The sequence below is a fragment of the Homo sapiens genome, chromosome 16 (genome assembly GCF_000001405.40).
Source record: "Homo sapiens chromosome 16, GRCh38.p14 Primary Assembly".
Taxonomy (NCBI): Eukaryota; Metazoa; Chordata; class Mammalia; order Primates; family Hominidae; genus Homo; species Homo sapiens.
Genome location: NC_000016.10, coordinates 19,724,778 through 19,737,039, shown reverse-complemented (window position 1 = coordinate 19,737,039; position 12,262 = coordinate 19,724,778). Strand labels below are relative to the sequence as shown.

General features: G+C 45.0%; 1 protein-coding gene across 8 annotated transcripts in view; it reads right to left on the bottom strand.

Moving 5' to 3' along the window:
* Positions 1–12,262, bottom strand: part of IQCK (IQ motif containing K) — a 140,197-nt gene that overhangs the window by 121,428 nt on the left and 6,507 nt on the right. For 6 of the 8 annotated variants that reach the window (NR_130967.3, NM_001394805.1, NM_153208.3 and 3 more), the window contains exons 2-4: positions 6,546–6,610; positions 3,213–3,342; positions 1,590–1,687 (exon numbers count right to left, since the gene is read on the bottom strand). Coding sequence is in view for 6 of the 8 variants with exons in the window: in NM_153208.3 (NP_694940.1) it covers positions 1,590–1,687; positions 3,213–3,342; positions 6,546–6,610 (293 nt within the window). In the remaining 2 variants the exon portion in view is untranslated. The remainder of the gene's footprint in view (positions 1–1,589; positions 1,688–3,212; positions 3,343–6,545; positions 6,611–12,262) is intronic. The other 2 variants (NR_130968.3, NM_001305121.3) reach the window with 2 other exon arrangements.

The following is a 12,262-nucleotide window of genomic DNA, read 5'->3' as shown; positions in this document are numbered from 1 at the left end:
CAGGTATGCACCACCATGCCTGGCTAATTTTCTTTTTCTTTTTTTTTTTTTTTTTGTAAATACCGGGTCTCACTTTGTTGCCCAGGCTGGTCTCGAACTCCTGGGCTCAGACAATCCTTCTGCCTTGGCCTCCCAAAGTGCTGGGATTATGGGCATGAGCCACTGTGCCCGGCCTTTAGTATCATTTTGAATCATTTAATCTGGATTTGAGTCCTAACTCTGCCATTCACCCTTGATCACATTTCAGGCCTCTGTGTCCCTCCATTTTCTCCTCTGCAGAGTGCAGATAATAATAATAGAAGGAAGCTCACATGGCTGGGGAGAGCAACTGCAATAATGGAAGATGCAGCACTCAGCAAAGTGCCTGGCACAGAGCGAGTGCCTGGTCAATAATAAATGTTGTAATTTTACTCTCTTCATCTGGATCATCCAAAATTCTAGAATTCAAAACTGTGCAGGGAACACATACACCCAAAGTATCCCGTGAACTACGGAAAAGAGGGAGCCTCTAAGGGTATCCGCGTGGGTGTAGGCCAGCATCGGAACTCGGTTTCTACCGAGTTCACTGAGTTTTTGCCCAGTATCTACAATCAATCAATCAATCAATCAATCAGTCAGGCGTGGTGGTGCATACCCGTAGTCCCAGCTGCTCAGGAAGCTGAGGTGGGAGGATCAACTGAGCCCTGGAGGTTGAGGCTGCAGTGTGCCATGATTACGCCACTGCACCCCAGCCTGAAAACAGAGCAAGACCCTGTCTCAAAAAGAAAAAAGATACTAAACTAAAACTTCCCTGCAGAGAAGCTGATTCTCTGCAGTGTGATGTTAATGTTATTTACTGAGCACTTACTGTGTTCCAAGACTCTCTGCGAGCAGTTTACATTCATGACAGTTGGCATGGAGTAGAGAGATGCCAGGGGGAACAATCAATCTAGAGCCAAGTAAGAAGTAAGCAGAGTTCTGTGGGATTTTTTTTTTGAGTTGAGGGTCTTGCTATTGCCCAGGCTGGAGTGCAGTGACGTGATCATGGATCACTGCAACCTCAAACTTTGGGCCTCAAGGGGCCTTCCTGCCTCAGCCTCTTGAGTAGCTGAGGCTACAGGTATGCGCCACCACACCTAGCTAATTTAAAAAAAAATTTTTTTTAGAGATGGGGGTCTCACTATGTTGCCCAGTGGTCTTGAGCTCCTGGCATCAAGTGATCCTCCCACCTCAGCTTCCCAAAGTGCTGGGATTATAGGCATGGGCCACCGTGCCCGGCCAAGGAGAGCTTTAATCAGTGCATGTAATAAACAGAAGCTGAAGACCCAAGAAACCTGGTGGATGCCAAACTGCACAGGAGAAGGGCAGGCAGGAGGCCAAGCAAGGCGGAAAAGCTCTCCGGAGTCCAAGTGGCCAGACAGATGGCAGCGCATGTATGTGCACAACTAGATGGTGTGGCTGGAACTGGGTAAGTGACCCCAAACACAGGCTTTCCCTCCCGAAGGGGTCATCTGGAGAACAACCTGATGGTACCAAGATAATGAGCTATCATCTGATAATAATGAATGATTGAGAATCTCAAAATAAAGAAATCCTGCCAAACAACTGACCTCAAAACATTTTTCTTTCTTCGCTTGGTGAAGCAGGCTAGCCATTCCGGGAAGCAGAACAGGAAAGATGAAAGTTTCCAAATATTCTTTGGGAGAACCTAAAACAAACAAACAAAAATTCCCCCTGCAAATCCCCAGTGGCCCGAGCCAATCTGGGAGAAATGTTTACTTTTGAGCCAGAAAAAGGTACTGTCCATTCAATCACATGATCTTAGATGTTATATTTTGCTCCAGACTACAGAGCTGGGCTGTATAACTAAAGTAACTTAAAATGTCCCTCTGAGCCTCTATAGTCTGGTGAAGATGTAGGAAGTATCCTACATAAGGCCAGGTCCACCAGCTTGTTATGGCCCCAAAGCAGGAATAGCAAGGGGCCCAGTGTGGCCGGAGGGACAAAAACAAGGGGAGTGTGGTAGGAAATGGGAGCAGAGAGGAATTGGGAGTCAGAGTATAATGGGTAAGGGCTTAGGGTCACAGTAATAAAGGCAGTCGTTAGCCAAGGCCCAAGGCATGCAGAAGGCACAGAACAAACCAGTAGGAGAGGGTCTGGTACCAGGGAGGGCCCAAGGAACTACGACTCAGATCTGCAGTATACACCCCTGCTTCCACACACAAAGCAGGGAAGCATGATGATGTTTTCTTCTACTTTTTACTTTTTTTTTTTTTTTTTGAGACAGAGTCTCACTCTGTCGCCCAGGCTGGAGTGCAGTGGCACAATCATAGCTCACTGCATCCTGGACCTCTCAGGCTCAAGCAATCTTCCCACCTTAGCCTCCCAAATAGCTGAGACTGCAAGTACCTGCCACCACACCCAGCTAATTTTTTTTTTTTTCTCGCTCTGTCACCCAGGCTGGAACGCAGTGGTGCGATCTCAGCTCACTGCAACCTCCGCTTCCCGAGTGCAAGCGATTCTCCTGCCTCAGCCTCCCAAGTAGCTAGGGTTATCAGTGTGCACCACCATGCCTGGATAATTTTTTTTTTTTTTTTTTTTGTGATGGAGTCTTAGTCTGTTGCCCAGGCTGGAGTGCAGTGGCACGATCTTAGCTCACTGCAACCTCCGCCTCCCAGGTTCAAGAGATTCTCCTGCCACCATGCCCAGCTAATTTTTGTATTTTTAGTAGAGACAGGGTTTCACCATGTTGGCCAGGCTGGTATCGAATTCCTGACCTCAAGTGATCCTCCTGCCTCAGCCTCCCAAAGTGCTGGGATTATAGGCATGAGCCACTGCATCCAGTGATAATTTTTTTTTTAAATTTTTTGTAGAGATGTAGAGATGGGGTCTCCCTGGGCTCAAGCAATCCTCCTGCCTTGGTCTCTCAAAGTGCTGATATTACAGGCATGAGCCATCACAGCCGGCTACATGTGTTTACTGTTCTCTTTTCCTACTTTTTATTTAATGTAAAATCAAAGTATGCTTTTTGTTACTTATTATCTTTATTACATTTTTAACCTTAAAGATAAATCAGTGAAATAAAGGACATGTCTCTTAAAAATAAAACAAGAACACATTCTTTCTTATGTATGTGGTCTCCCTGAGGTCCATCTGTCCGCCTCCATACCCACCCTGTGGTTCTGCAATGTTAAAAGCCCCAAATTATAAAAGATGGCATCTCTCTTACTCACATGTTTTTGGGTTGATTGTTTCCGATTTATCTTGAGGACAGGGTGTACGTGAGATCATGGTGAAATGGGAAACCGGAAAATAGTGCTCTGCACTGAAGCCATGAAAAAGCATTTCCTCTACTGGCGCAACCTGGAGGCAGACAGGGGAGGGGAGGCAATTCATTTAAACAGCTTAAATAATTGCATTTTCTGGTATAACCTTATGAAGGAATAAAATTCTGCATCAGACTTTAAGGTTCAAGGGGGTACGCTGAGCACAGATCTTTGTCTCCCTTCCCTCCTGAGACACCTATAAACGACAAGGCAGAAACCCCTGATAGAGAAAAGAAGGACCAGCTGTGGATGAGACGTTTGTAAACATATCCAAAACACCAGGGATGAAGCCTCACTCAAGAAGCAAGAAACTCACGCCTGTAATCCCAGCACTTCGGGAAGCCAAAGCAGATGGATCATCTGAGGTCAGGAGTTCAAAGCCAGCCTGGCCAACATGGTGAAATCCCGTTTCTACTAAAAATACAAAAAAGTAGCCAGGCGTGGTGGCGGGCGCCTGTAATCCCAGCTACTTGGAAGGCTGAGGCAGGATAATTGCTTGAACTCAGGAGGTGGCGGCTACAGTGAGCTGAGATCACACCATTGCACTCTAGCCTGGGCAGCAAGAGTGAAACTCCATCTCAAAAAAAAAAATAAATAAATAAAAGAAGCAAGAGTGGAAGTAACAGTCACAGGAGGAAGCTGCCCCAGAGGACAGATGTCCATCCACCCATCAGATCCCAAAGGGACTCAACACTCAAGTTGACAGGCACTGCACAGGGTGGGAACAAGAATGGAATGATATATGGCAAGGCTGGGTGGAAATCCGGCTGGGCTAACTTGGCCTGCTGCCCACACTCCCCTCAGGCTTCTTTCTGGTCCTTCGATATCATAAAGCTGTGTTCACACCAGCTGGATCTCCAGCTCCCCCTCCTCTCCAGGAACTCTTCTGTAAACCAATGAAACAGCCTGAAAAGGAGTAGAACACTTAGAACCACTTAGGGCACCATGATGGTAGCGTAAGAAAAAAAATTGTGCTGGGTGTGGTGGCTCACGCCTGTGATTCCAGCACTTTGGGAGGCCAAGGAGGGCAGATGGCTTGAGTCTAGGAGTTTGAGACCAGCCTGGGCAACATAGCAAGACCTCATCTCTACTAAAATTCAAAAATAATTAGCTGGCAGTGGTGGCATACGCCTGTAGTCCCAGTACTTTGGGAGGAAAAGGCGGGAAGATCGCTTGAGCTTGGGAAGTGAAGTACTGCACTCCAGCCTGATGACAGAGTAAGACCCTGTCTCAAAAAGAAAGAAAGAAAAAGTTGATTTAGAGACCCTCCTGCCGCCACCGCCCAATCCCAAAATACCGACTCTCTGCCTGTTCACCCTGAAGAAAAGTCGGCCAGTGGACAATCACCCTTCAGGAGCACCCAGTCAGTGTTTTGCTATTCATAGAAGAGACCCATCCAGAAAACAAACCCACAAGTACAGCAGTAGAAGAAAGCCACATCAGCCGTGATACTGTGATGGTTAATTTTCAGTGTCAACTTGACTGGAGTAAGGGATACCTAGGTAACTAGCAGAGCATTATGTCTGGATATGTCTGCAAGGGTTTTCTGGAAGAGACTGGTGTATATGTTGGTGGACTGAGTGGAGATCTATCCTCAATGTGGGCAGGCACCATTGGATTGGCTGAGGGCCTGGAAGGAACAAAACGTTGAGGAAGGCTGAATTCTTGCTCTCTTCTGGAGCTAGGACGCCCTTCTTCTCCTGCCCTTGGACCTCAGAACTCCAGGTTCTCTGGCTTTGAGACTCCAGGGCTCTCACCAGTGGTCCCTGGGGCTCTCAGAGGCTAATTAAGTCCAGCTAGATTTCCATGTAACCCTGCCATGTATCATAAACAGAGGCCCTCAGACTGGTAGTTACACTGTTGTTTCTTCCTGGCTCTGAGGCTTTTGGATTTGGACTGAGCCACTCTACCAGCTTCCCTGGTTCTCCAGCTTGCAAACAGCCTAATGTAGGACTTCTCAGCCTCCGTAATCGTGTGAGCCAATTACCCCAGTAAATCCCCTCTCATATATGTATCCTACTGATTCTGTCTCTCTGGAGAACCCTAATATACCAGCTATATAGAAAAATCCACTGAAGACCATTAATAAACAATCAAATCTCTTTATACGGGTCAAGAAGATCATAGCACAAGAGACGAAGATCAACATATATTGTCAGAACAGCTGACCCTGGAAGAAGCACAGAGAATTCAGGGAAGAGAACTGTGATTTGTATCTGCAGAGAAATTTGAGAAAGAATTGCGTCCATAAAGCAAGAACAGGATGCTAGGAGAAAAGGAACAATCACAGAACAAGAAAGTTTTTAGACACAATGTCTCTGTCAGAGGCAGCTGCAGTGATGGAAGTTAATAGAAGTCGAGAAACAGGTTTTGATTCCATCCGTGTTACCGTGCTCAAGTCCCTTCATCTCTCAGAGCCTTGCTTTTTAAAAATTTTAAACTCCGTTAAGCTCCTATCTAATTCCAAGGTAGACTTCACGAGGGCCTCTCTTCCTGGCTGCCCTGTCCTTAGCCCTCTCTCCTTAGCACAGTCTTCATCTTGTCTACCCTGTCATGCAGAGAAACTTGGTCTGTCTGCAACTGTCCCTCACATGGACATGGTGTTAGATCCACTGCAAAGGCTCTTCTCATCCAGGATCTCATGTGAGCCCCACAGAAGCCCTGTGAGTTAGTCAAGCATTATCTGTCCCATTTAATAAATGCAGAAACCTGGATGGGAGCAGTGGCTCACATCTGTAATCCCAACACTTTGGGAGACTGAGGCAGGCAGATCACTTGAAGTCAGGAGTATGAGACCAGCCTGGACAACATGGTGAAACCCCGTCTCGACAAAAAATCCCAAGCACGGTGGCGGGTGCCTGTAGTCCCAGCTACTAAGGTTGCAGCAAGCTGAGATTGTGCCACTGCACTCCAACCTGGGCGACAGGGCAAGAGCCTGTCTCAAAAAATAGATTAGGTAGATAGATAGATAAGATAAGATAGATAGATAGACAGACAGACAGACAGACAGATAGATAGACAGACAAACGCCGAAACTAATGCTCAAAGAGGTTATGTGATGCCCTCTAAGTCAAACTGTTAGTATTAGAGCTGGGATTGGCCCCAAGTTTCTGGTTCTCGCTCCAGTGCCTTCCCTTTCCCACCTCCTGAACTCAGTGACACTGTGTGACATTCACAGGCCATCAATGCTATTCTCATTTAAGAGCTTCTTGCTTCGGTTGAGGCCTAGGTAATACTCACCGTAATCACAGGCTCCTGTTTGACTTTATATCCTTCTGGAAAGGGAGGCTGCTCAGCTTCATACTCTAAAGGGAAGGGAAAAAAAATCCTCAATTCCATACTTCACTAGAGTTTCTGGTGTAATTTCCTTCTCCCTGAATAAAACATTCTTAAATTTTATTTTGGCTGGTGGTGTACAGAAATGAAAAAACAACTGGCCATGACAGGTTAACATTTAATGGTATTTAAAATCAGCAAGAGGCCGGGTGCGGTGGCTCACACCTGTAATCCCAGCACTTTTGGAGGCCGAGGCAGGAGGATCACCTGAGGTCAGGAGTTCGAGACCAGCCTGGCCAACCTGGTGAAACCCTGTCTTTACTAAAAATACAAAAATTAGCTGGGCGTGGTGGCTGGTGCCTGTAATCACAGCTACTTGGGAGGCTGAGGCAGGAGAATTGCTTGAACCCGGGAGGCAGAGGCTGCAGTGAGCCAAGATCCTGCCACTGCACTCCAGCCAGCCTGAAAGACAAGAGCGAGACTATCTAAAAAAAAATTATTAATAAAATAAAATAGGCCGGGCGTGGTGGCTCACGCCTGTAATCCCAACACTTTGGGAGGCAGAGGCGGGCGGATCACAAGGTCAGGAGATTGAGACCATCCTGGCTAACACAGTGAAACCCCATCTCTACTAAAAATACAAAAAATTAGCTGGGCATGGTGGTGGGTGCCTGTAGTCCCAGCTACTCGGGAAGCTGAGGCAGGAGAATGGCGTGAACCCGGGAGGCGGAGCTTGCAGTGAGCTGAGATTGCGCCACTGCACTCCAGCCTGGGCGACAGAGCGAGACTCCATCTCAAAAAAAATAAAAAATAAATAAATAAATAAAATAAAATAAAATAATAAAGTCGGTAAGAGATGGTTGGTCTCTTACATGAAAGAGTCGACGCTTTATCTAAGAGTCTGAGACTCTTTTTCTTAGAGGACACAACTTCAGCTTTTGCCAACATGATGGAAACTATAAGGAATTAAGGGAGGAAGAGAACGTGGAGGTTGGGTAAGGGAAGACACCGAGAGCACATGCGGAGGAGAGGCTAACACAAAGAACAGTCCACAGCTGGGAGCGGTGGCTCACGCCTATAATCCCAGGATTTTGGGAGGCCGAGGAGGGTGGATCACTAGGTCAGGAGTTCGAGATCAGCCTTACCAACATGGTGAAACCTCATCTCCACTAAAAATACAAAAATTAGCCAGGCATGGCGCCGGGCACCTGTAATCCCAGCTACTCAGGAGGCTGAGGCAGGAGAATCACTTGAACCCTGGAGGCAGAGGTTTCAGTCAGCGACACAGCGAGACTCTGACTCAAAAATAAATAAATAAATAAAAGAACAGTCCACGTAAGTTCTACAGGGTTGCAACAACCATGACTGACAGAGGAACAGAAAATGCTCATGGCCAGTATTAGTTATATCCCTAAAGCAAAGACTGGTAAAAATATTTCTGGAAAGGTCAATGTTGTCAAGACAATTGCACAGTCACTTACAGTCATGAGGAAAAATTAATTTGTGGGCAAGACGGTATTGAGGGCATACAGTCGTATGGACATAAGTTTTATTTCATCACCTAGCTACCTATCAGACAGTACAGCATTTCCTCCACTTCTCAACTTTCTAAGCATCAGGCTGGGGACAAGAATGTCAGGTTGCAGGTTAAAAGCAATTTATTTCTCAATACCAACTGTATTCGTTTTCTATTATTGTGTAACAAATTAGCACAAATCATTGACATAAAGGAACACAAATTTATTATCTCATAATTCCCCTGAGTCAGGAGTCCAAGAATGGATCAGGGTTTTATCAGGCTGAATTCAAGGTATCAGCCAAAGCTGTGATCTTCTCTGAGGGTTGGGATACTTTTCCAAGCTCATTGGTTGTTGACAGAATTTCGGTTTTGATAGAATCTTAGTTTCTTGGCCAGTCATGGTGGCTAAGATCTGTAATCCCAGCACTTTACGAGGCCAAGGTGGGTGGATCACTTGAGGTCAGGAGTTTGAGACCAGAGTGGTTAACATGGTGAAACCCCATCTCTACTAAAAATACAAAAATTAGCTGGGCGTGGTGGCAGGCACTTATAATCCCCAGCAACTTGAGAGGCTGAGGCACAAGAATCATTTGAACCAGGGAGGTGGAGGTTGCAGTGAACCAAGATCTCACCATTGCACTCCAGCCTGGGTGACAGAGTGAGACTCCATCTCAAAAAAATAAAAAAGAATTTTAGTTTCTTGTGGTTGAGGTCTGAGGTCCTTGCTATCTTGTGGTTGTCAGCTGGGGTCCCTCTCAACTCTTAGAAGGCACTCTCAGGTTCTCGCCATGGGTAATGCACAACTTGATTGCTGCTACTTCAAGGGCAGCAGGAGAATCTCTTCTGCTTGAATCTGACTTCTTTTAAGGGCTCACCAGATTAGGTCAGGCCCACCTACAATAATCTCCCTAATTTAAAGTCAGCTGGTTAAAAGCTTTAAACATACCTGGAAAATCTTCTGACAGCCACACCTAGATTAGCGTTTGATTGAATAAGTGAGGTGTGTTCACGAGGTGGCAAGAATCTTGGGGGCTATCTTAGAATTCCGCCTACCATACCAGCCCAAGCTCTACCATTTTTTTCCTCTCTGGCAAGCATGTAAATTCACCCTTCTTCCCCAGCTGCCTTGGGAACCATTGCTATAGTGTGGAATTGTTTATTTGGGTTTAAAATGTATACATTTATACTTCTGTCTGATTACAAAAGCAAGACATACTTATTGAAAGAAAATGTCAAATAACATAGGGATGTCTTATGTAGAGTGTAAAAGTCACACCTAATCCTATTGCAACCCTACAACCATTGTTAGATATGGCATAGATCCAACCAAATCTTTTTTTTTGGGGGGGGGGGGTGACAAAGTCTCGCTCTGTCGCCCAGGCTGGAGTGCAGTGGCACGATCTCGGCTCACTGCAACCTCCGCCTCCTGGGTTCAAGAAATTCTCCTGCCTCAGCCTCCCGAGTAGCTGGGACTACAGGCACATGCTGCCATGCCAGACAAATTTTTTGTATTTTAGTAGAGATGGGGTTTCACCGTGTTGCCCAGGCTGGTCTCGAACTCCTAAGCTCAGGCAATCCGCCCGCCTTGGCCTTCCAGTGGTAGGATTCCAATGTATTTACTAATATATGTATATAATACATAATACATTTGTTTACTTTCAATTTCCCAGGCTAGGTCAAAGTGCCCACACATAGAACCACATAACACTGTGTCCTTTTTCTTCATAACTCATATTAGTTTTTGCCTTATTTGAAATTTATAAAAATTAGTGACTATCTTTTCTTTTCTTTCTTTCTTTTTTTTTTTTTGAGACCGAGTCTTGCTCCGTCGCCCAGGCTGGAGTGCAGTGGTATGATCTCGGCTTACTATGACCTCTGCCTCCTAGCTTCAAGCAATTCTCTTGCCTCAGCCTCCCAAGTAGCTGGGATTACAGGCACCCATCATCATGCCCGGCTAATTTTTGTATTTTTAGAGACAGGGTTTCATCATGTTGGCCAGGCTGGTCTCGAACTCCTGATCTCAAGTGATCTGCCCACCTTGGCCTCCCAAAGTGCTGGAATTACAGGCTTCAGCCAGCATGCCCGGCATTAATGACTATCTTTTCTAATAGGCTATATGTTTGGTAAGGGAAGTGCCTGGATCTGTTGTCTCACCATTATTTCCCCACAGAATACTGGCTGAATGAATGAACGAATGGATGAACAGAACCAACCATATCGTAAGTTACTTTTAACGGCTTATTCATTCATTTATATCTATTGTAAGCCCATTACCTGCTATGAACCATTCTGTGTGTTAAATATGAGACTCCTTTCAATGTTGCTACATACATGATGTGCCACATTTATTTAACCAGTGTACTCTTCATGGGCATTTAGGTTGTTTCCATTATTTTATTATTATAAACAATGTTTCAATGAACATCTTTATATAAATCATTGATCCACAGAGAGGTATTTTGGTAGGATCCTTAGATGTGGAATTTTTTTCTGTCAAAGGAAAAAATAACTTAAAATTTGGGCCAAATTGCCAAACTTTTCTCCAAAAAGTTTACAGTCACTTGTACTCCCAATAGTGACACTGCCTGTTTCTCTAGAGTATAATCAATCTTATACATTAAAAGTTTTTCAACACATGTAAAAGAAAAAAATGGTATTTTACTTTTATTTGCATTTCTTTATTACTTGCTATCATATTTTTCCAGTGAAATCTCTCAGGAGTTCCGGACTGGGCACGGTGGCTCACGCATGTAATCCCAGCACTTTGGGAGGCCGAGGCGGGCGGATCACGAGGTCAGGAGATCGAGACCATCGTGGCTAACACGATGAAACCCCGTCTCTACTAAAAATACAAAACTTAGCCGGGAGTGGTGGCGGGCGCCTGTAGTCCCAGCTACTTGGGAGGCTGAGGCAGGATAATGGTGTGAACTCGGGAGGTGGAGCTTGCGGTGAGCAGAGATCGAGCCGCTGCACTCCAGCCTGGGTGACAGAGTGAGACTCCATCTCCAAAAAAAAAAAAGAAAAAAAAGAAATCTCTCAGGAGTTCACTTAAATTTGATGGAAAAAATATAAATTTCTTCATCACATGATCACAAAAGACATACAGTTGAAATGATTATGTAGAAGTATGAAGTATGGGAAAATACTTTAGCTTCAAGACAATCTGATGTGTTACTTAAAACCTCTGTAATAGTTTAAGGGAATCTAACATATTTGAGAATGTCAGTTTTCCCTGTGGTTTCAATCTGAAATATGATTACAGACTGATGCTTTTACATTGAAAGGCATAAAAGAATTTAAGTTTGTAGAGTACTGGACTCTTAAAACAACTTGATTTACCATAGTTTAATTAATTCCATTTCCAAGAGTTGCTTCAGTGCTTAGAAAAGTGTGCTTATCTGCTCTGTTCTGCATTAGAAATACTTAAGAAAATCAGGGGCCCAGGCATGGATTACAGGCTCACACCTGTAATCCTAACATTTTGGGAAGCCAAGGTGGGCAGATTGTTGGAGCCCGGGAGTTCAAGAGCAGCCTGGGCAACACAGTGAAACCCTGTCTCTACAACAAATATAAAAATTAGCTGGGTGTGGTGGCGCACGCCTGTAATCCCAGCTACTTGGGAGGCTTAGGTGGGAGGATCACCTGAGCCTGGGAGGTTGAGGCTGTAGTAAGCACGATCACGCCACTGCACTTCAGCCTGGGCGACAGCCTGTCTCAAAAAAATAAAAATTAAAAAAAAATTTTTTTAAATCAGGTATATTAAATGTATAAATGTTTACAATCTTTCCATTACCAAAGGTTATAAATGGCATTAATTGATTAGGGGAATTTAATGTTATATGCATATTAAATGAACATTATGAACAAGTGAAAGTTGTTGTTCGTTTTACACAACAAAGGCAACATTTTAGGAGAGGCAGAGCAGAAGGAGCCCGGAAACTTGTTGGCAGAGTGGAGCCCCTGTGCCACAAGTGAACCCTCTCCCCTCAACTTCTGGGATGTGAGAATAATTAACCATCTTTGTTTAGGCCATTATGAGTTGGGCTTTCTGCTATTTGCAGCTGAACATGTTCCTGATAGAAACAATTAAAATGTAGCATTGACTGGTGGCCGGGCACGGTGGATCGCGCCTGTAATCCCAGCACTTTGGGAGGCCGAGGCA